This window comes from Homo sapiens, chromosome 8 (assembly GCF_000001405.40).
Source record: "Homo sapiens chromosome 8, GRCh38.p14 Primary Assembly".
In the NCBI taxonomy this organism is placed as follows: domain Eukaryota; kingdom Metazoa; phylum Chordata; class Mammalia; order Primates; family Hominidae; genus Homo; species Homo sapiens.
In genome coordinates, this window is record NC_000008.11 from 84,891,000 (window position 1) to 84,916,400 (window position 25,401).

The 25,401-nt window shown below is 36.4% G+C and overlaps 1 protein-coding gene across 56 annotated transcripts in view; it reads left to right on the top strand.

Annotated features, from left to right (window-relative positions):
- Positions 1 to 25,401, top strand: part of RALYL (RALY RNA binding protein like) — a 739,058-nt gene that overhangs the window by 708,213 nt on the left and 5,444 nt on the right. The window contains exon 9 of one of the 56 annotated variants that reach the window (NM_001413309.1): positions 15,929 to 16,020. The exons of the other annotated variants lie outside the window; for them this stretch is intronic. Coding sequence (NP_001400238.1) covers positions 15,929 to 15,982 — 54 coding nt within the window. The 3' untranslated portion in view covers positions 15,983 to 16,020. The remainder of the gene's footprint in view (positions 1 to 15,928; positions 16,021 to 25,401) is intronic. 56 annotated transcript variants of the gene reach the window in all.

A 25,401-nucleotide genomic window follows, 5' to 3' on the forward strand; every position in this document is an offset into this window, starting at 1 on the left:
GAGGAACTAAATGAATAAAAGAAAAACAAAGTCTGTACTTAGGGACCGAGATATTTCAGAGGTGGACAGTTTAAGAGATGATGAGATGTTCTATGGGAGGGAGTGATAGAAGTGGGATCAGTGCGAAAGTCACAGCAGATGAAGAATCTAAGGAATGAGGGGCTCAGATGCAAGATGAGTCATCTACATGGGCATGAAGTCACTCCAAATATTGGATGAGAGGGTGAAAGAGTAAGACAGTTATGGAAAGGCTGACAAGAAAGGGAGGGCATGGCCAATTTCAGTCCCAGATCTGTCATTATCAGTCCAATTGAACTACCTAACCAAATAACTTCTCTGAGTCTCTCTTGACTTTCTTTTTTTACAAAATAGGCAAGATCAGAAATTTCAAAAACCATTCTGTTTCAGTTTTACTCTGGATGCATGTTTCCTAGGAGCAATATGTCTGAAAGAGCAAGGCTTAACCATACAGTCATGGCAATAAATCCAAACCATGGTATCTGGACTATACTCTAAACACACAGAAAATAGCTGATTAGAACTGAGCACCTGCCTGGAGGTACTCATCAGGTTTTCTCCCTCAACCCTGGTATTATCATTGGAGGCTTAGGGAACTAGAGATAAATCCTATCTCTATTATATCATTTTGTTTCTAAGACTTGGAAAATAATAAATGAGGAAGGGTTTAACACTCAGTCCTTGCAATCCGGATTGAAACTAAGGAGTCTCTCCTAGTGATTGGCCAAGAGAAAATTCCCTAGTCTGGTGTTCACTGTTATCTCCTTTCCAGGCTACTGAACCAAACCATCCTTGGTTCCCAAAAAGTGAAATAAAAGCACAAATATTTTCTTTTTAGGTAATAAAGGGCATCATAGATTTGAACAGCAAAGATACAATATAATTAGAGTTTTTCTCACAAAGAAGAGCTGGTATCCACATGCCCATTTGGCTGCTCAAGGCAAATCCAGAATGCTCTTGAAAAAGAATGAACAGGAAATAAGAATTGGATCTGAAGTGAAGGAAATTCAACAAAATGAGCTAGTAGGGTAGCTGTAGGTGGTGGTGCCCCTTGTGAGGTGGTGAGAAGCCAAAGATATGAGCACAGACTATCTACATAATGTCTAGTTCTAAATATACACTTAGTGAAAATGATTTCCATGAAGCAATTCTTTCAACTAACATTTGGGAATCTATCATGTGTGCACCAGGTGCTACCAAAAATGCAGGGATAACTAAAGTCCTTGCTTTATGTATGAAAGGAAATGTTTAAGAGTATGGCTCCTTGTCTCAAGTAGCTTAGTGTCTTGTAGAGAGAGGACTGATTTCCTGGCTGGGCATGGTGGCTCACGCCTGTAATCCTAGCACTTTGGGAGGCTGAGGTGGGTGAATTACCTGAGATCAAGAATTTGAAACCAGCCTGGCCAACATGGTGAAACTTCATCTCTACTAAAAATACAAAAATTAGCCGGGCATGGTAGCAGGTACCTGTAATTACAGCTACTCAGAAGGCTGAGGCAGGAGAATCGCTTGAACCCAAGAGACGGGGGTTGTTGTGAGTTGAGATTGAGCCATTGCACTCCAGCCTGGGCAACAGAGCAAAAACTCTGTCTTAAAAAAAAAAAAAAAAACCAACATGGCACATGTATACATATGTAACAAACCTGCACGTTGTGCACATGTACCCTAAAACTTAAAGTATAATAAAAAAAAAACCAGACAGATGACTGATTTCCTCATGCACAAAAACAGAAAAACTAAACAAAAAACAAGCTCGGACTTTATAATTTATAAGCAGCCAGCCAAGACTAAAAATCTGTGATTCTACAATAATCTATACCTATATATTTCAGTAGTGCATAGAAGTCAAAATTTGGATTTATCTACAGTTAAATTCTGTATTGATGCACTATACATACACTATGAAACCACTACTATAGTCGTGTTTCTGAATAAATCCACTAGCAAGTATTCACTGATTGACTGCTGGGGATAAAGAAGGAAAATAAGAAAGATATGAACTAACTGAGGATAAAGGCCACAGACAAAAAATACAATGCAGCATGTCATGGTAAGAACCATACAAAAAACATAGTTTATAGTTGGGGAACCAGACATAGCCACTATGGTCAATAAAGACTCCTGGCAGAAATGGGGTTGGAACTTTACCTTGAAGGATGACAAATTAGAGAAACGACATGTGCTAAAATTGAATAAACAATATTCAAATCATCCTTCATTGTCCCCAGATCATTTTATGGAAAATATATTTAAAATCCCAAAAGCATTAGATAATTCACATTATACATAGGTAGGTAAAGGTGAATTTTAAAAAATAAAAACTACTGGAAACTTCACAAATACAACATTTCAATCTCTTTTATTCTCTATATTTATATCCACCAAATCTGTATTCCCCTTTATATAAAATAACATCATCCAAAATTAAAGTGGCCTTTGCCATAATGGAAATACTATAGGAAAGCTAGTGCTTAACACAGTGCTAATTCAAAAAAGCAAATGAGCTCTCCTCAGGTGTATGAGAAAAGGCTTCTGTGAACACTCTAGGACATTATAAAGCTTTCAGATGTGTTATGGAGCCTTAGGCTAATCCAGTGTTTTCCAAAGGAGAGTTTTTGGTCAACTTACACTCAATACCTGGGGTGCTAAAATGCCAACATAGATTATCTCAAGAAGCAGCCCTGGAATCTGTGCTTTATCAAACCAAGGTTTGAAACTACAGAGCTAAACCATCAATTCCCAAAGGAAACTATAGACAAGCAAAACATTTAAATGGATTAAGGAGAATTTGAGTTCTTTTGAATTCTACTTATAATTACTTTTCCTTTTGCTGACTACACACAATCAAATCAGGCAAATCTAGCAAGAATCCACAGTAGATTTACCTAGCTGAACTGTGTAATACTTAGACATGAAAGCTGAGTACTACGTTGTAATACATCTTTCAGGATTTAACAAAACATTCAACTAAGCAGTAAGTCACCTGGGCTTACCAGGTATTGAATTTCTGTGCACACTGGGGAAGGTCTGGACCTCAAATCCAATCCTGCAGTTGAAGACAACTGAAAGTAAACATTCTGGTACACCATTGAAAAACTGGAATGCATAAAGCATTCTGATCAGTATTCTTGGTCTTTCTTTATAAGAAAGGCTGAAAATGTCTCCTTCTTTTTGAGACTTTTTGTTTCTTTCCTAATGAAGTCCTTCACCTGGATGATCCCCCTTATCAACTGCGCTTCTCTTTCTTTTTCTTATCATTTTGAATGAATGCTGGCTAGAGGACAAACAAGAACTGTGAGACATGTTCCACAAAGGTAGTGCCAACTGAATTAGTTGGAATTGTAAATTACAAGGAAGAAAGTAGTACTCAATCTGTTGGATTTTGGCATGTATCTTAGCACAGCATTCAAAGACCTTCATCTTGAACTCTGTCAATCCATCATATGCTATCTTCCCTGTCCTACTGAGAATAGATATTGAGGGCATAAAGACAGCAGTACCCTTATTTGGATGGAGTTAGGGATAGGATGAACAGCCATGGTGAATGTGTCCTGCAACTGACCTGGCCTAGGTGACCTGCATGGGTCATGCATGTCCACTGGCCATCTGTTCTCAACAGAAATGGGATATGACTCAGCCTTTGATGTGAGAGAAAGTGTAATAAGCAGGTATCTCTGCTTCCAGCTTTCCACCTGGAATCCCTCCTCTTCAAGAGTTCTGATCCCTTTGTAATAAGTGTCCCCTCTTATTTCAGACTTGCTACTCTTGCCATCTCACTTGATTTCAATCATTTTTATTGTAGTTAACGAACTCTGCCATTAAGGCAAAATCTCTCCTGGAGGTTGGATGGCTTAACTGTTAGAAACAAGAGCTCTGCCTGCAGTCTGACAGAAGCATATTCAAAGTCCCATGACTTTGAGCAAGCCACTTACCTGTGCCTTCACTGGCTTTAGTTTTTCCATCTATAAAAGAGGGTTGACAATAATATGTGTCTGGCTCACAATTGCCATGAGGAGTGAATGAACTAATGTCTAAAAGGCACATGCTTGGCACAGAGTAGGCATTTTGTGCTACTCTGTAGTTACTTAATCTGTTTGATTTTGAATTTTGTTTGATTTTCGTATTTTAGCACAGCATTCAAAGACCTTCGTCTTGAACTCTATCAATCCATCATAAGCTATCTTCCCTGTCCTACTGAGAACAGATATTGAAGGCATAAAGAAATCAGTACCATTATTTGGATGGAGTTAGGGATAAGATAAACAACCATGGTGCATGTGTCCTGCAATTGACCTAGTCTAGGTGACCTACTGCACTATGACAAAAAAAAAAAAAAGACTTAGAAAGTCAGAAAGACTTTGTTAAGTCTTTTATGATGTAGAGCATTTGTATCCTCTTATATATTTTTTTCCAAAGTCAGAAAAACTTTGCCAAGTCTTTCCGTTTTTATTGTAGGGCATTTTTATCCTTGTGTATATTTTCTGGTTTGTGTGTTTGTTTGTTTCTTTGTTTTGAGACAGAGTCTCTCTCTGTTGCCCAAGCTGGAGTGCAGTGGCGTGATCTTGGCTCACCACAACCTCCATCTCCCAAGTTCAAGCAATTCTCCTGCCTCAGCCTCCCGAGTAGCTGGGATTACAGGCACCCACCACCACGCCTGGCTAATTTTTGTATTTTAGTAGAGATGAGGTTTCACCATGTTGGCCAGAGTGGTCTCTAACTCCTGACATCAGGTGATCCGCCCACCTCGGCCTCCCAAAGTGCTGGGATTACAGGTGTGAGCCACTGTGCCAGGCCTGTATTTTCTGTTTTATTGTCCTACTTAACTTCATGCATTTAATTTTGGTGACCCAAATGTTTCCATGCATTTCCAGACATGGGATAAATTAAGTCACAGTTATATTAATAATAAAAGTCTACTGGCTTTATATCAGCCTCTGCATAGCTGCAATACCTTGCCACTCCCTCACAATCTCTCCCAGCTGCTTCTGGGAGTCCCAAAAAGTATCTCACCTGTGCTCAGGAGCATATCTGATGATGTGCTTCTTCTACCTGCCCACTACCTGCCCTCCCCCTTGAGGATGCAGCCTTGCCACAGACTTTGCTGCTGCCTTTTGTGAGAACCAGTATGACTCTCTCACACTCAGAGGTGCAGGACCCACAAGGTGCACTTGGTGTAAGATCCCTTCAGGTCTCATTGTGCCAGAGAAGCCACATCAGGTTCCACATTAAAGTTGCAAGGACAATGCCCTGTCCCCAGCTCTAAACTGCAAGTTGTCACCAAGACCCCAAGTAACACAGCCTAAAGCCTGAACCATGAGTTCTACTATAGAGCAAAGCAGCTACATGAGCTAATGACTGAATATTTTGCAATAACTCCCTGCTTCTGGCCTTAGTCTTCTGCAGATTGTTCTCCAAAGAGCTGCCAATTTGGCTGTGTTAAAGCTTTAGCCAGGCTATTTCATTGTACTTAAAACTCTCTAATAACTGCCTACCTTGCTTGGAATAGATACCGAAGTCCTTACGTTGATCTACAAAGTCTTGCGTGATCTGGCCCCTGCTACCTCTCTGATCTGGCTCCTAGTTCTCTCCCATTCACACCACATCAGCTCTGTAGTTTCCAGGCACACACTGCTCAGCTCCTGTTTCAAGGCCTTGGCATTTGCTGCACCCCTGAATGTGGGGACAAGGAGAACAGAGGGCAAATTATAAAAGACCTTGATGCTTTACTAAATGTTTGAAGTTTATTCCACAAATTTCATATAAGTAAACCTGTACTTACCTGTACATAAGAGAGAATTGGAATGCAATACAACCTAGTGGTCTGATGCAAATTTTTTGGAGTCAGATAGAGATAGGGTCTCCAGATTTAGCAAATAAAATACAGGACACTCAGTTAAAGTTGCATTTCAGATAAATAGTAAATGATTTTCTAATATAATCATGTCCCAAATACTACATGAAATGTACCAAAAAGTGTTATTTAATTTGAAATTCAAATTCAACTGGGTTTCCTGTATTTTATCTGGCACCCCTACATAGAAATGGAATTGAATACTGGCCTTGAACAAACTATTTAACTTCTTTCAGCCTTGGTATGAAAATAGAGTAATAATACCCACCTCATGGGGCTTTTGTAACGATTAAAAAATATAATGCATGGACTGCACTTAGCAAAGTCACTGGCACAAAGTAAACAAGTAAATTGCCGCTGTTATCATTATTGCTATTGTTATGATCATCTCATTTTGCCAGTGAAGCTTTCAATAAAACATTACATTCCTAGCAACATAATCTTCATATGAAACTTTGTATTTTTAAAAACCCTGGATTATCCAAATTTGTTAAAAAAGCACTTCTTATTTGATAAGAAAGACTTCAGGAAACAAATGTAATATTCTGAGAAGAATTATGATTTGATTTCAGTTTGTTAAATTTTTATTTGATTGTATAGCTCTCAGCACATTCAATTCAAAACAATTTATTTTTAAATTCCATTCTTATGGCTTTCTTTTTTTTAATAAAGATAACACTAACAGTATCCTGTGATGATATAGGGCTTTTGCTTCAGTTTTTGCTATAGATTTGTTCTCTGACTCATGTGATCTGGCCATGAATTTAGTAACAGATGGTAACTTGTGGTTTTATGAAAACCGAGTATGTGAGAAGCCTTACATATCACATTTTCTTTAGTCACCCAGACACTTATTCATTAAAATAACAACCGAAAGAATTTTTAATTAAATAATGGAAACTCAGTAATGTGCCAGATATTGTTGGTTGCTTAAGATTCAAAGAATAAGACCTACTGGTTTCTGGTTTCACAGAGCTCTCACTGGGTAGAAGAGAAGATGTTGCAACCAGAACAAATAAGTAAAACAGTATGATAGGTAAAAATGTCACATAAGTCATACAATCGGGTGTAGGAAGTGAGATGATAGAGCAGACTTCACAAAGTCTGTGTAACATTGTAGTTGGTTCTTGAAGAATGAAAAAATGTATGCAAAGTAAAAAAGAATTAGATGGCATTCCGCATGGAAAGAACAGTATATACAAGGAAGAAAGGTATGAAAGAATTGGGGAAGTTGCCAGTTTAGTTTGGCTAAAGCAGTGGAACTCAGAGGATGGCCCAGAACCAGCAGCATCATATCATGTGGAGTATTTGTTAGAAATGCAGATTCTCAGGCTCTAACCCAGGCTTACTGGATCAGAAACTCTGGGGCGGACCCCAGTCCTCTATGTTTTAACACGCATTCTAGGTGATTGTGGTGCCTACTGAAGTTCGAGAACCCTGAAGTACAACAGTAGAGTTTTCAAAACTGAGTGCACATGACATCACTGAGGGTGCATCTTTCATAAACACCAATGACAGGGGCCACAAGCCATAAAAATTAAATCAGAGTTTCAGAAGGTGGAGCCCAGACCAAAAGTCTAAAGATGTTTTACTGTGCAGCCAAGGCTGAGAACCACTGGGATAGAGCACATGGTACATGAAGAAGAAAGGGCAAATAGACACTTCACAAAAGAGGTAAACACATGAAAACTCACTCAAAATCATCAGTCTTCAAGAAAGTACAAATTAAAACCACAATAAGGTAACACTGCACACCCTCACTCAGACTGACCAAAATTGGCTGCTATAACTAAATGCTGGCAAGGAAGTGGAGCACTAGTGTATCATTGCAATTAAACAGACAGAGGTTGCCTGAAGGGTAAGGGTGAGGGTCAGGGATTGACTTTCCTGAAATGTCATTCCGTACCTGATCCTGGTGAACACCCACTTTTATTTCACTACTCGGTTTTATCTGGAAACCTTCCTGAAATTTCAAGTTACTCAGGCACATCCTCCACAACTCCTGCAAACCTCTGTTAGGACACTTCCTTCAGTGCTGCTACCACTTTTTAAAATGCCTTTCTCTTCAACTAGATTTAAAACCGTTTGAGCCAGGGTGTTCTTTTTTCTTTGTGGATCCCTCACGCATAGCACAGTATCTAGCATTTGTATGGGGATGGATGAGTGAGTAGACTGAGGGATGTTGGGTTACCTGATGATTTTGACACACCGTGTCATGACTCCATGCATTTACATATGCTGTTCCCTCTGCCTGGAATAACCCATTCTACCTTTTATTTTGTCTGTCTGGCAAAAACATCTCCTCTCTTAAAGATCATCATTCTGTGTCACCCATTCCATAAATCTGTCCCCCAACAAGGACACATCCATTTGGATTTGCTTCTTTCTTTAGGCCATGCTTTGTACATAGCTCCTCACACTTAACTTACTATATTGTAATTAATGATTTTCCTTCTTTCTGGATCACTGATTTGTACATTTCTCGGGGGTTATTTCACTTTGTATTTTTCCTCAGTGTAGTGCTTAGCATATGTTAATGTTCATAAATATCTGTTAAAGAAAGAGAGAGGAAAATGTCCTCAGACTACCTCAAACATATTATGAGCATTTTAAGTGCATTTTTATTGTCTGTCATAATCAGATTGTGTTCTAAGTATTACTTTTGTGTGCATCCCCTCTGTGATTTTGAGGATTATTATACAAAGAATGGAAGCAAACAGTTTTCATTATAGCTTAATCACTAGGTCATTCAGGCAGCAGCCTGAGTCTTGAAGGCACTGAGGAGGAACAACAGAAGGAGGCTTAAAACCAACACATCAAAGTCAACACAGCAGTATTGACTCTATCGTGTTGGTTTTCAGTGGTTCTGAAATATTGTCTCCCACGAGTGATAGAAATGCAAATTTGAAGTAACCTGAATTTAGTTAGCAAAGCTAGAATGCTGACTTATAAAACAAACCAGAAAATAAGACTTCCTCTCACTCCTGATCTACAATTTTTAAAGCCAAAAGAAAAGAGTCACAAGTTCATAAGAAAGTAAATTTCAGAGGATTCCAAACTAAAGTATGCCCAGATAAGTAAGATAGATGCTGTGATTTCAACTGCAGCTATCAGTGCAGCTATCAAACAACGTGATCATTAAAAAACAAGCTTTAGTTCTAAGGATTTTTGAGATGTTAAGAGTATTGTGGTAGATACACAATTTTCAAACAGCCTCTCATGATGTTAAAAGCCAAATAACAAATCTAGAGTATAAATATTTTCACCATTTCTGAGTTTCTATACAGAGGATAACACAGGGGGAAGAGAACAGAAAGATTCTGGAGTCCTTTGGAAATGAGAAGCAGCTTAAAAATAAGCTTTAAATATACAAAAATAGGAAAAAATAGTTACTTTTCTAAAAATGCTATAATGTGTTAGAGGAAAATGGAGAAATCTAAAGTCTTAATTCTGTGAGATTTCAAAAAGCTAATTATGAAAGTAGTTAGAAAAACAAAACAATTCTGCCAACAAAAAGACCTCTCCCGGCTGGGTGCGGTGGCTCACGTCTGTAATTCCAACACTTTGGAAGGCCGAGGCAGGCAGATCACCTGAGGTTGGGAGTTCAAGACCAGCCTGACCAACATGGAGAAACCCTGTCTCTATGAAAAATAGAAAAAAATTAGCCAATCATGGTGGCACATGCCTGTAATTCCAGCTACCTGGGAGGTTGAGGCAGGAGAATGGCTTGAACCCGGGAGGCAGAGGTTGTGGTGAGCCAAGATTGCACCACTGTACTCCAGCCTGGGCAACAAGAGCGAAAGTTTGTCTTAAAAAAAAAAAAATTCTCCCTATCAATATAGTAGGAAAACAAAATTTTTTAATTGCATAAGCAGTAACAAATTTACAAGCATGTAAGGTAGCACCAAAGTGACCACAATGTTAGTGTCATAGCAAAAATAGCAATGGATGAAGTTAAAAAAGCAAGGAAGATTTAAGACTGTTTCAACAGAAATCAAGACTATTGTAGTAAGAGAGAGATTGAACTCAGCTCTGCTGAAACAGGCAGGAGAGATTTTAAGCACTGGGGTAACTAGTGGAAAAGTACTGGAGGATGGTAGAGGAAGGTGGGTCAGTGTAATTAGGCCATCTGTGTTTGCTAATTGCTGCTTATCTAAGTTAGGTTTACACCTCCCACAGAGACTGAGAGATAGAGGTTGCTTCTTACTTAATGATTACAGTTCAAAGGAATGATTCCAGGTCCTTAAGAAATATATTCCTGGGTTTATACAACTGGCAAGAAGCTGGGGGAAGATTTATATCTCCAAGGGGCAGAGGAAAAATTTACAAATACAATTTTTCTAAAGTAAATGCTCTAAGAAAAGGGAGGTCAGGAGCCTATAGTCAGGAAAAACTCCGTCTAAAGTTTTGTCAAGCCCTCTTGGTCATCAGGACAAAATCTCACACATTTTATTTGGCCAAACAGAAGAAAGGACAATTATTTCCTCAAAAGACAAAAAATCGTACCTCATGACAGTTTTCTGAACAACTCTTAAGAGATCTCAGAGGTAATTCCAGAGCTACATTTTTACATTTGTCAAGTAAAAAACAAATCAAGACTTAGTAATGAGAGACTTATTTGAAAGGGCTATTGCAAGGCGGGAGAGGGACTACTGCAATAGGGAGAATGCTTTGGCCATGAGATCCGCAAGCATCTCAAGTACTAGGCAAGAAGGGTTTTTCTTTTATGAGAGGAGTAAACAAGATTAGAAAGAACCCAGGGTGGAGAAGTGGGATGAAAGACTGGCATACTAAGTAAATATATCAGAGGATGTTTTACCCTGAAGCCAGCATATTTTCCAGGAGGGCCCTTAAAGAGGGGATGGATCCTGGCTCAGGCTGAGGATGGACTGAAGTTTGGGGTCCTGGGAGAAGGAGAGACTCTTATTTGATTAATAAGCATTTTGTTCTCATTGACCAATGGAGACAAAATAGTTCAGTTAGTCATGAATGAGGGCAAGAGTGGGAATTTGGAGGATCTATGTCTGGCCTTAGCATAGGTAAATAAGCAGGTGTGAGTCTTATCTAAATCAACTGGAGAAGGGTGGTTCTTTGCAATAAGCCATTTCCCAGAACAAAGGGTTTCTTAACTATCTTAATGAGGCTCACATAAAATTCAACATCATCACATATCCAGAGGTTATTTGACTCACAATCTTGGAGATGTGTTAGGCCATCCTCACATTGCTATAAAGAAATACCTAAGACTCGGTAACTTACAAAGAAAAGAGGTGTAACTGGCTCACAGTTCTGCAGGCTGTACAGGGAGCATGATGCTGGCATCTCCTCAGCTTCCGAGGAGGCCCCGGAAGTATAATCATGGCAGAAGATGCAGCAGGAGTAGGCAGGTCACATGACCAGAGCAGGAGCAAGAGAGAAAGCTAGGTGCCACACACTTTCAAACAGACAGATCTCACAAGAAGTCACTCACCATTGTGAGAACAGCACCAAGAGGATGGTGCTAAACCATTCATGAGAAATCCTCCCTCATGATCCAATCATCTCCCACCAGATCCCACCTCCATTACTGGGGATTACAATTCAACATGAGATTTGGACGGGGAACACATATTCAAGCTATATCATATGTCTACACTGTAATCATTGGAGAATGGGCTTAATCCCTAATAAAATTTATTTTGATGTCAAAGGTAGGAGGAAGGACACAGATTCACCAGGCCTCCAAATAGACACTCTAAAAATGGGGAAACGGGAAGTCAGTGTCTTTGCCTTTTATAATGGAGAAAATCGTTTCCATTTGCCCTTACAAAGTGCAGATATACATTTATCGATTCAGTTATTTGGGTTTCAGGTTCAGATGGACAAGCCAAATCACTGAGTCTCTGAGGCTCACTTCCATATCTGTTAAAGGAAGTTTTTTTGGGTTATTGAAAAGATTAAATAGGATCATGTTTATGAAAATCCCTGCTATGGGATTTTGTATGTCAAACTTAATATTTTCCTCAAGTAACAAAATTTAGTGGACATGCCAATTATAGGAAGTTTTAGTAACATTGAAAGAAAAAAATTAAAATGATTTGGTGGCTCATGCCTGTAATCCAATACTTTGGGAGTCCAAAGTAGGAGGATCACTTGGGCCTAGGAGTTTGAGACCAGCCTGGGCAACACAGTGAGACTCTTATTTTTTTTAACGACTTGGTTATGGTGTTTATGCATACCCCTTGTAACTTTTATGTCTTAAAAGTCTAGAATATTTTATTAGTAATCTTGTATCTCACATCAAGACACTCTTTTGAGGAATTCTCTGTTGAGCTGGGGTATAGTGTAACACCAAATCATTTGAAATTGCTGAGAAAAGTTGCAGTGATCTCAAATTTGAAAGAAGTTATTTTCATTTATATGGGAATACTAAGAAGAAAGGAACTAATCAAGATAAAACAGTTGATACATAATTATCTTATTTAAAGAGAAGGGTTTGTCATTATTTAGCCATACAAAATCTGACCACAAATTCTAGATCTTTGTATTTTGGTCTTTTGAATCCCACCCCATCCCCAACCCTAACCTTCACCCTTTGGTACCTTAGTCTCCTCACATTGCCCTAAACACAGAGAGACAGACTAGACCACTCACAGGCAGGTGACTGAACACACACACATATGAGGGAGTTCTATGGGGGAGAAGTGGCATCTTCTGCCTGCCCAGGAGGTAACTCCCATTGTTCTATAAGGATGAGTAAGATGCTACATACTAATATCAGTAACATAGGGTTCTTAAATAGCCTTGCACGTAGTTTGCCCAGAATGCCTATTTTTGTGTAGGGTGGGCCAAACCCGTATTATAGTTCTATGATGCCAAGCCAAATTTATTAAATCAATAAACTCTTCTAAGATTCTGAGAGGCAAACAAGTCTTTCCCGTCTTGTAAATTATTCCCAAATTCCAAAGGGCAAAAGCTATTGGAAAAATCATCTTAGTGACATTAAGAGTTTTATGCAACAGAATAATAATTAGTCTAGATATGTGTTTTGCCCTTAATGCCATTTTTATTCACTCAGCCAGCAAATACTTATTAAATGATTACTGTACTCAGGCACCATTGTAAGGGCTGAGTAAAAGGAAGTGAATAAGAAAGAAAAAAACCTCTTTTGGGGAGAAAGGGTTGCAGGCAGGCCGCTTCATTCTCAAATCGCAGATTATATTCTAAAACATATCCAAGATTCACATTCTAAAATATACTATTCAACCTGAACACATTCTATAAAACTAATACAGTGGAGTATGACTGGAGTATTAAATTCATTTTTACTTCAGTGCCCATTGTTACGCCTCATTGTTATTTAAATTCAGACTTGTCCATTAAAAGGTCTATTTGTAATTCACTGAAAAAAATAGATGATATGATAGATATTGTAAATAGAGGACTTATCAAGATAAGGTAGAAATATGAGCACAAGGTAAATTTTGTTAACCATCGCTAATTGACCTGTGCTTTCTAAATTTCTAGGTTTAAGGAAACTAGTATTAAAACAATGTGATTTTTAATGCCAATATTTACACAATTTTTGTAAGAGGTAAAATGTAATTTGAGCAAATAATGTAAATATAAGAGAACCAAAAGAATTTTATTTCTATAAGAAAATAATTTCAAAATATGTGAACACATGCTTATGAGTATGCTTAACCAAACCTATTACATATATTCAAAACTATTTCCATTTTCTGTTAGCCACTCATGAGAAAGAAATAGTTCACGGGTTGTCTAGTGATTGTAGAGTTGCTTCATTTGACTTTTAAAGTATCATTTTAACTAGAATTACCTCCAGTTTATGGGAAAATGTAAAGACTCTACAAATTGCATTGGTTAAAAGTAATCCTAAAAAATGGCACTGTAACCATGGAAATATCATTTAGACTCATAAAATTTTAACCACACTTTTTTTTTATTCCCTTTCTGGTTTCTATGTTGCCTCTGTTCACTGTGGCATGTTAGGTGCATATTCCACCCAATTTTCTTATGACTTAACTGTTTAGTTTTTAAATGGGAGAATTGTCTGCCAGTGAAGAGAGACTGAATGGAAGAACACTTAACATGAGATCTACCATCTTTAAAACATTTTAAGGGTACGATACAGTATTGTTGACTATGCAATGTTGTACAGCAGATCTCTAGAATTTATTCATCTTGCTTAACTGAAACTTTATGCCCACTTATTAGCAACACCTTCATTTCTCTCTGCCCCCTGGTAACTACCATTTCACTCTTTGATTCTACAAATTTGACTATTTTAGATACCTCATATAAGTGAAATCACACAGTATTTGTCTTACTGTCACTCAGCATAATCTCCTCAAGGTTCATCCATGTTGTTACACATTACAGATTTTCCTTCTTTTTTAAGGCTAAATAATATTTCCTTGAATGTATATACCACACTTTACAAAATCCATCCGTCAGTGGACATTTAGGTTATTTCCACATCTTGGTGATTTTGAATAGTGCTGTAATGAGTGTAAGAGTACACATAACTCTTTGAGATCCTAATTTCAATTTCTTTGGATAAACACACAGTAGTGGGATTGCTGGGTCATCTGATAGTTCCCTTTTTATTTGGGGAGAGGGGGACCTCCATACTGTTTTCCAGAGTGGCTGCATTATATTGCATTCCCACCAACAGTGTGCAAGCATTCCAATTTCTCCACTTATCTTTGTATTCTAAGAATACACATAAAAGTAATTCTCTTTATCCTATTAAACAATGAATTTTTGGATTCCTGACACAACAATGTTCTATTCCTTGAATTTTCTGGCACTACCATTATATGAATACTATTTTTTTTTTTTTTGAGACAGAGTCTTGCTCTGTCGCCCAGGATGGAGTGCAATGGTGCAATCTCAGCTCACTGCAACCTCTGCCTCCCGGGTTCAAGCAATTATGCATACTATTTTTTTTAATTATCCTCATTTCTTTCTTCCAGAGCTACATGATAGTAATACTCCTGTTTCCTACAATCTATAAGAACACTGGAACCTTTAGTTGTGTGTTTTTTTACATTCCAAACCTAAAATGTTTTGAATACGTAAAATATTCTACACAGAAATACCAGAAGCTATTTATTTCTTAGAAACATCCAGCAATTCATTGAAGTAAAGTGTTAAAGTGTATACATATTACACAAGCCAATTCCCCTACATTGTATTTATTGAATAGATTAATAGACTTTTCTGGGAAAAGGTAATTAACTGTAAATGCTGACCTCTCACTGCCTTTTCCAGAGGTTGTTGAACTTCTGTGGCCTAAGTATTTTATCTGCCAAATAGCTAGAAATTCTTTTCAAGTTTATTTTTTAATGCTCCAAATACAAATATAATTGATTCATTTCCCAGTGTTTCACAGGCACAGGACTTTAATGATTTTTTTCTAGCTATTTTTTAAAATATTGAGTATGATGAGCTGTAAAAACTCTAAAAACAGAATAAAAATAAATGAATAGACAAAAGACAATGTTCATTTGATAAATACCAGGGCAAGAAATTTGTACTTGAACAAGCTAAGAAAGTCATTAACAGCAGTATTTCTGGAAACTAATGGTATACCTGCTCAAGCTACACTGAATCTAATAATCTGTGACAAAAGAAATGGCAACAGGTATGAACACATTTCATTTAATCTGAAATTGAAAGAAAAGAAAGTGGGGCACTTTTCTTCCCCAACTTTTTTCATACCTCAACAGACAAAATCACAATGGAAAAGAGATTTATTGCCAAAATGTTGCTGACCTTTTACAATTCTTGCCCCATATTCTGGAAGTTAATTGATTAAAAAAAAAAAAAGTACATTTTCATGGACTGGCACAAAGATTTTATCCAGATAGCATTCAAGTTGCAAAGAGGCATCCTCTAGCTCAGTCCCTTGCATGGTGCACCTTTGTCACCCACCAGCCAGGACTGTGCCCAGCTGGTTCTCCCCTCATTAAGTCTCTCACCGGCACAACCATGCTGCACTATCAGCCTTGCCCTGCCTAAGGATCTTCCCTTCTAAACCTTCGCTGTCTTTAGAATGTCTCTGAATATGGAAAATCACAAGCTCCGGGGTTGCCTGCTCCAGGATAGCCTGAGATGAAATGAAAGTTCAGGCCTTTGGAAAGCTGGTAAGAATTCTTTTCACCTGGAATCTGATAAGTATCCCGGAAACCTTATGCATATTTGATATTTTCTGCCTTGCCACAGTTTTAGGAATACATTTTAATAATATTAAGTAACATTTCCTAAAAGTAAACCTTCCTAGCCTGTAGTCTACTGGAAATAATACCTACCCCTGCTATTTAAAGCTGTGTGAATTGAACAAGTTCTGGAATCACTTTGGGCCTTAGTTGTTTCAAAAATGTGGAAAACAGCTTATCTTTAAAAAGGCAGAAATCTGAGAAAATAAGATATAGCGTCACACACACACACACACACACACACACACACACACACACACAGTGAAAAACTGAGAGGATTTTTATTTTATTCCAAGTCAGGAAGAAACGGAAAGAAAACAATACTGTTTCCATTTTCACTACCTTCCAGGAACAATGCTGAGTTTTTTATATATGTCTTGTCATTACTGCCTAAAATAACTTCGAGGAGTAGCTATTTCACAAATAACTGATTTTAGAAAGATTAAGTAACTTCCCCAAGCTCACACTGCTCATAAGAGGCAGAATCAACCTGCAGTCAGGGTCCGTAAGATTCTAACACCCTTAGATATTTTCATTGTATTAGGGTTTCCACAAATTTTATTAATTTTGATATGTATAGTACCCTTTTGGTTTGTGCCAAATCTATGCATCAGTGGTACTATTTTTTACTTACTTATTAAATTACCTCATTATTTAAAATAAATGTATCTTTTACACTAAACTTTAGTTCACTCTAATAAATGAAAAACCAAGCATCTCTTTTCATAAGTTGGAGAAATATTTAAAATAAATATAATGAAAGGACAAAATTTAAAAAAAAACCTTGATATTTGTGACCAAAAAACCCTGTGTTCCTGCTGTCCTCTCCTGTTTCTCTCTCAATCTCTCTTTCTCCCATTAAAAAGAATAGACAGTACTAGAGAAATGTTAAGACTGACACAAACATAAACTTTCTCATTAATGCAATCCAAAGAACTGGAAGAGCAGTGTTCTCACTACATGAGTCAATGTTTATATTTTATTGTATATTGATAAATTATAATTGCATATATTTAAGGGGTACAAAGTGATGTTATAGTGTATGTACACATATGTAGAATGATTAAATAAAGCTAATTAACATATTCATCACCCCAAATACTTATCAATTTTTGTGATGAGAACATTTGAAATTTACTATCTTAGCAATTTCGAAATATACATTGCACTGTTATTAACTATAGTCACCATACTGTGCAATAGATCTCAAAAAACTTACTCCTCCTCTCTAACTGAAATCTTGTACTCTTTGACAGACATCTCCACATTTCCCTCACCTCCCTGTTTCTCGTAACCACCATTCTACTCTCTGCTTCCTACCTCTGTTTTAGATTCCACATAGAAGTGAGAACATGCAGTATTTGTCTTTCTGTGCCTGGCTTATTTCATTTAACGTAATGTCCTCCAGGCTTATCCATGGTGTTATAAAAGCCAGTCCTTCCTTCTTTTCTTAAGGCTGAATAGTATTCCATTGTGTATATATGCCACATTTTCTTTATCCATTCACCCATTGTTAGAAACTCAGGTAGATGCTACAGCTTGACTATTGTGAATAATGCCACAATAAATATGAGAATGCAGATATCCTTTCACTATGAGTCAATATTTTTAATGAATCTTCCCATATAACAATATATTGGGCAGCCCTAGCAGTTTGTGCATCTCCCCAAAACCCCCGGGAAATGCAGAGCTCAATCCTGCTGATCTGCATTTCGTGCTTGACAAGTTGATGTCACTGAATGATATTCTGACTGGATGTCACCCTCCAGCACTTTTTTTTTTTTTTGCGCAACTTTCTACTTGAAGTTGGAAGAAACTCTGCATGCAGATCGACTTGTTATATCACATTGGAAAAGTACCCCACATTTTACAGAGTTTGATACCTCACAATTGTTAAAAGTGAGACAGCATTTCCATGCCATGTATTCCAAATCCCTGAGGATCTCAGCAGGCAGATGGCCCTCTAGGTCACTAGCCACTGCTGACAACATGGATGCCCTCACCTGGGCTCTGTCTGTGACATGTCTAATGATTTCCATCAAAATAGGATATTGCCTTCTCAAATGTCCTCATTTTTAACAAGGAAAGCTTATGACACACACAATGAAAAGAACACTTAAAGTCATAAATACTGTATACACATTTGTTTCTATAGAGCAAGTTGATTGTAGAGAAGCTGCCAGGCTAGTGCCCAAATGTTCCTGAGATAGTTCAATAAATATCTCTTTACAAGCCTGTTATTGCCTTTCAAAGGATGTAAGGTCTCAACATTCCTAATTAATACCATAGGTTTTGTCCAAAGGGAATAGGAAGAAATTAACACAAAAATACTGAAATAGATACAAATAATTTTGAATAAACCTTCTATTTATATAACACAGAACTGGTTGAGCATTAGCTGCTAAATATAATAGTATTACTATTTGGGTAACAATGATGTTGAGAGCTTAGGCATGATCTAAATTGCTGTAAATAGGAGAGAGTGTATGACACACAATGGTAAGAAATAAAGGCTGTATGAACAAAGCACTGGGTTAGTTACAGCCAAATATGAAGACTTACGTGACTTGAGCAAATGACTTACCTCTCTGTGCCTCAGTTTTTTAATCTATAATATGAGTATAAGGATGGCACTTCCCTCATGGTGCTGGTGTGAATATTAAATGGAAAAAAATATTTAAAGTACTTAAAAGGGGGCTTGACATATAGTAAGCCCTCAGTGCATGTAAGTTTTTAACTAAATAAGTTAAGCCTCAAAGTCTTACTGCCAAGGAAAAAGCAGTGACAAAACTATTTAAAGAACCCAGGTATATTAAGGAGAAAATTTCAGTTTGGTGTTCTCTAACAATTAACTAACAGGTCCTCATCTCCCACTTTAACCTAAAGAATCAGACACTCATACTTTGTTTCAAACAATAGCTAATTAGATTTTAATAACAAATGAGGTTCAGAAAAGGATGGACAGAGGAAGAGGCTGTGTCACAGTAGAGAGGCATCCAGGGTATGCCAGTTATAACATGCCCCCTTAGCACACCTACACAATGCTTTGGATCAAGAGAAAAACATTTTTCATGACACTTGCAATTACAATCAAACATGAAGCAGGATGGTGTATGAATTTCCATATGTACATTCTAAACATGGCATGGTTCTATTTGTACTGCCACCATGGAAAAATTAGATATTTTTTTCAAATGAAAACTGGAAATGAAGAAAAAGATGTCAGAGAAAGATCTACTTCTTCTACTCTGTTAGTCATACTATCAAAGTCTTGGGCTATAAGATGTTAAATGCTTAAAATACATGATCTAATATCAACAGGGGTACCTAAAATACAGACAGTCACATAAACATTTCATAATTAATTACGCTGATAGGTGTCATATGTTATTATGTCTAAATGAGACAGCTTTCAAATCTCAAAACAAAAAATCTGTTACCATCAATGATGATGTTAAGGGCTAAAAAGTTTATAAAGTAAAAATATATATAAGAGATAAGTATGAATTCTACATAAAAATCAATTACATCTAAAAAGCACTTGAAAATGCTCTTTATATAATCATGTGCATAGCTTCTCACCTCAGTACTGATTGCACTTCAGTCCTCTGAAACTTACCTGTGTGCCAGAGAATCAATCTTTGTTCCTGTAAAATATAAAATATCATCTGTTTTTTTAAATCATTTACCTTTGCTATAGGAAAAATAATATTAATAATATAAATTTAAATCACCTGAAATTGTATATTTATATGAAAACTAATAACTTTGAGATAAGGCCCAATTATTCTAAAACTTTACCCAGAATTTTAAATGATTTCAAAATTTAAGATATATTTCATTTTCTGATATTCATGGGCATGTTTGATCTCCATTATTTACTGATACTAAGCAACAAATAGATTTTTCTTTGAGTTGTTTCTATCAACTTAAAGAGAGTAACTATATCTGGAAGTATTGATATATTAGATTGAAAAATTTAGCCAAAAAGAATGACGTGAGCAAGATGGCAGAATAGGAAATCTGAGGCTTAATTTCCTTTTCTCCCCACCAGAAAGTTCAACTAGCAACTATCCATTGCAGAATAGGAAATCTGAGGCTTAATTTCCTTCTCTCCCCACAAGAAAGTTCAACTAGCAACTATCCATTGACTAGAATATGCTTTTGAAAGATTCAGCCATATCACTAATTTTTTATTCCTATGCAAGATATGGTATTTTCTATATAAGTAATAAAACTGGTTATATCTTTTCATAACCCAAACAGATCCAATCCATGAGTCAATTACATTGAAATATTCAATGGCTATTTGCTATTATTAATACTTTATAAGTATGCAGCTATTGATAGAGCATAGAGATAAGAAGATTTGGTGAAAAATATACTGATATCTTCTATTGTATTCTCACAACACAGAACACTTCTATGACCAAATGTGGTGGTAGAGGGGTTTCCCCACAAAGCAAGCTATTCTCCAGTGGATACCAACTGGGTGTCCTATAGTTGATTCAGTTCACAGTATCTATCTGGAGATAGCATCCGAACCCACAGGTTAAGGACTCAGTCCCACAAGACCACCCTTCCCACTCCCCCATTTCATGTACCAGTGCAAGTCCCAGCTTTTTACCTGTGCTCTGCCCTACTGGCTATAAATCAAGGTTCCCATGTACCCCCTCCTTGTGTTCAATATTTTTCTAGGATGGCTCACAGAACTCAGGGAAACACTTCACTTATATTTACTGGTTTATTATGTAACAAAATTATAAACAATACAGATGAACAGCCAGATAAAGAGATACATAAGGTAAGGTCTGGAAGGGTTTTGAGCACAGGAGCTTCTGTCCCAGTCAGTTGGTATGCACCCTCCTCCTGGCGTGTGGCTATTTTCACCAAGTGAGAACCTCATTAAATTTCATGTTCAAGAGTTTTATAGCACTTAAGCTCCAGCACCTCTCACTTTCCTTGAGGTCAGTGGGTGGGGCTGAAAGTTCAAACCCTCTAGTCATTCAGTCTTTCTGGAGACCAACACTATCTTGAGACTATCTAGGGGCCTTGCCCTAAGTCACCTCATCATCATAAACTCAAGTGAGAGCAAAGGGCTTGTTATGAATAACAAAAGACACTGCTATCACTTAAGAAATTACAAGAACTCCAGAAGCTCTGTACAAAAACCAAATATTATAATGAAAGATGCTCCTATCACCCTTATCATTTAGGAAATTAAAAGGGTTTTAGGAGCTCTGTGCTAGGAACCAGAGACTAAGACCAAAAATATATATTCCTTATTATGTAGAAGAAAAAAATACAGAAATCCAGTTTCAAAAAAGCATTGTTCATCACCCCCTTAAAAAGGTCAATAATGTTTATTTAAAGTTTATTAAAGTTATGTGCACATATGCAAGTAAATATTCACAATTCTTCTTTGTGACCCAGAAGCTAATTCCCTGTGCTCTTTCACTTGCTGATATTGTTAGCAGAAGAGGATCTCCAAAACAGTGCAAAAGATGCTTGCCGCCATTGGCTTCCTAACGCTCATTTGCCAAAACTCTGCTAATCAAAATAGTTCCCAGTGCCCAAAGTAAATCTAAAAGTAACTCCCACCAAGGACCCACGTTTTTAGAGGAAGGTTTGTTGGGAACATGTCATTGCCAACCTTCACACAAGGGGAATCAATATTCTGTCATGTTGATTTCAAATCAAGTATTTATTTAATGTGACCCTCAGGTAAGTGCAGAAATATGTGATTGTGTGCTGGATTTATTTGATCACCTTCAGTAAGACCCTGGTCAAGTGACTTTCTTTCTTTGTGTCTCAGGATTCTCTTCATTAAAATGAGCATTTGTGAAATACAGTATAAATGATTTAGTTTTGGATGTACAGTGCAGACCCAGGATGGATGGATGGATGGATGGATGGATGGATGGATGGATGGATGGATGGATAGGTAGGTAGATAGATAGATAGATAGATAGATAGATAGATAGATAGATAGATAGATACACATATACACTAAGTAACACCACACCTTGTTTGCTCAGCAAGTAATGCCAGGTGTAGATGATACAACAGAAAGAAAGCCAGGCAAACACAGTGCCCTTCCTCTTTATCAAAGTTCAGTCTAGTCATCATGAGTCTTGTGGATTACCCCAGTCAAATCCCAATGAACAGATGATGTTAGAACCTTTTGTTCAGGTCTATAACATGTGGCTTATTAGAGGAATCTGATTATAAAGGAAAAAGCCCTTCCAATTAAGTTTGTTTTCTTATTTGGGAACAGATTTGTTCACAAAAATCTAGGAGAGAATTCAACTTTTACTGAATTATTTCAATAATTTATTGAATAAAAATGCTCTAATGTTTTATTTATCTTGATCTATACCAGGATAATCATATAACTGACGATTTTTCTAAATTCTATATTCTCATATAATGAATAAAGGAAAACATAGGTAAGTGAGTTGGTATCTGAAATCTATTTCAAAAAGTAACCTGCAGAGGATATGGCATGATCATTCATAAAACAGATTAAACCCAATTTCCAATTCCTTCTACATCTGTTATAATTCTGGAAATTCTTTTATAAACATGAAATAGAAGGTACTACAAGACTCTGAAATTCTGAGTTATCCAGTATTCTATTATATCCAGCATAATTTGAGTGTTAAAAGTGTTTTGGTAATATTACAAAGCTTTAAGTGGTTTTTTTTAAATTACCTATGTTTCCCAAATATACTGATTTAAAAAAAAGGAGGGTTATGTATAGGATAATAGTGTATTTTTTTCACCATACTATTTCACTTACTGTCAGATTAATTTTATGCAATTTTAAAAATGAAGTCATTTTATTATATTGTAATCTTTGAATGTGTATACAGTAAATTTAATTAAATGAAAATTGTTAAACAACCGTGACAACCTTTCCCCCAGCTATTCAGAATAATTATGAGTTAACTATATGTTTTCAAAGGGCTTTTAAAATTATTCCTGTAAAGCAATTAATTCCAAATAACATTTTTGTTGGCTATAAAATGATTTTTAAAATATTTCTACTTGTAGTACTTGTAGTGCTAAAATTAATCCCATAAGGAACTGTGGAAAGCAGTCAAATGTGTAAAATTTCAAAGTTCATAATCTTAGCATTAGTCAGCACTTGGCTTTTCGCACTAGCATTAACTTAGGCAATTTAGAGTACTATCCTAAAATTATCATTATCATTTCTAGCATTGGGAGTAAATAACGATTTTTAGACACTACATAATTAGTATGAAAAATCAAAAATCGATGCATGATCAAACATAAATTATGTGCCAAATAAAACTACTATAATCTATCAATGCAACTAGTTAAATATGATTGTCAGTGATCCCAAAACACTCAAAATACAATCATCATTATCTTCAGAAAGTATCAGAGTACAATTGGAATAAAATAAGAGAAATGTTAATGTATGTGTAAGAGAACATCCAAGCAATGTGACTAAATTTTTTGAATAATTAAATTTTTACACATTTTAAATAAAATTATGTAACTCACGATAATTTTACTATAAAGTTAATTGTTCTTTTTACCTAATCAAAGTAGTTTTACAACATAAAAGGTCTTTTTCAGAGAAATGCCAAAAGCACGTTCTTAATTAAAATGATTTTTAATTAGTTCAAAACAGAACTTAAAAAAAATTTAGACAGAACTACTACAAATCAGGGAAAAGCAGGTAGAAGTTTATGGAAAAATCCTAGTATGTTTCCACTAATTCCATCCCTTATCTCCTACTAATTATGAGGGTATGTATTTTCACATAAAGATTATCTGTGCTATAATTAGTGGTGTTCCCAGGCTGCCTCACTACAACGCTTCTTCCCGCAATTGGTCAGAACAGAATATCAGAGAAAGCTCTAGTCTGGGCAGACAGGCAAATCATTCATTCTCTGATATAAGAACTAATAATCAATCTGAGGATGATTCTTGCCCAAGAACCTACCTCACTGATTTATAATAGAAACCAAATGAAAATATACATATAAACTGTTTTTATAAACTTCCACCCACTATAAGAATAAGTGTCATTATGATGATTGTCACCCATGCCCACAAGCTTAGCCCAGTTCCAGATCCTAAACACCCATTTCCATACTCTAATGATAGAGACTGCATAGTCTATCTGGAGGGAATTAAGGGAGCCTTAGCTAGGTAACTCAGCTGTCTTTAATGTTGTTTCTAAAACCAACCCACCTCCCACTGGAGTTGCTTTCTGCCTTACTCTCTCTTGCCATCTTAGAAGATCTCACCTGAATTTATAGCTCAAAACCCCCTGACACTTCAATACCTCTCACATTCTGCCTGGCTATCTTACTGATCGTCATACTCTCTAGATTTTTGGCTTAATATTAATAAATAGTTCAGTCATTTAGCTGATTTAGACTCAATGTAACAAATTCTTTTCTAACCACGATTATCTACAAATAGAGCAAGCTGCCTTAAGAGTTCTGTATCATTTGAGATAGACAAGACACAGCTACATATTCATTGGCCATGATTACTGTAAAAGACACTGCTGCTCTGTTTGCAAGATTAGACAAGATCACTGTACGATACTAATCACCAGCTTCACCACTGAACCACTCTGATTCTCTGATGCTTCTGGAGTTACAGTTCTGAAGACATCATTATGGTTCCTGACATCATTACATCTTATCAAACTAAAAAAATTATTCCTGTAGAATCCAAAATAAATAGAATCTTATTAGAAAATTATTTGTGATTTCAGTTAAATGAAATGTACTCCAGAAACACAAATGATCTGTGTGTCTAGATGTTAAAACTATTACTGCACTAACATCTTCATTAAAGACAGTAGGTTTTGTTATTTCATACAGAAATGGAAAGATAAAAAGGCTAGGAAAATCAGCCATTTTCTATAGTATCATAGAATTTAAGTTACTGTATATGGTATGCTAAGATGTTTTATTTTCTTTCCTAAAACTGAAGCTAAACATAAAACAATACTATGAAACAATCATAAAAGGAAAAGGAAAAAGGAGGAACTTAATGTTAAAATAAATTTAACTTTATTTACCAAATCCACAGAAACTTTTCCTATAAGTATTATAAAGTGACTGTCAAACTTTTGCATCATGTTTTACTTTAGTTTATAAGATTGATTTATCTTATATCACATATCTTGTATCTTATAAAGTACATCTTCATAATTAGACATAGAAAATGATATCATTAACTCTGAAAAAGAGGGTTCTTTTTTTTTAAATCACATATGGTAAGTCATATGGTTTGGCTGTGTCCCCACCCAAATCT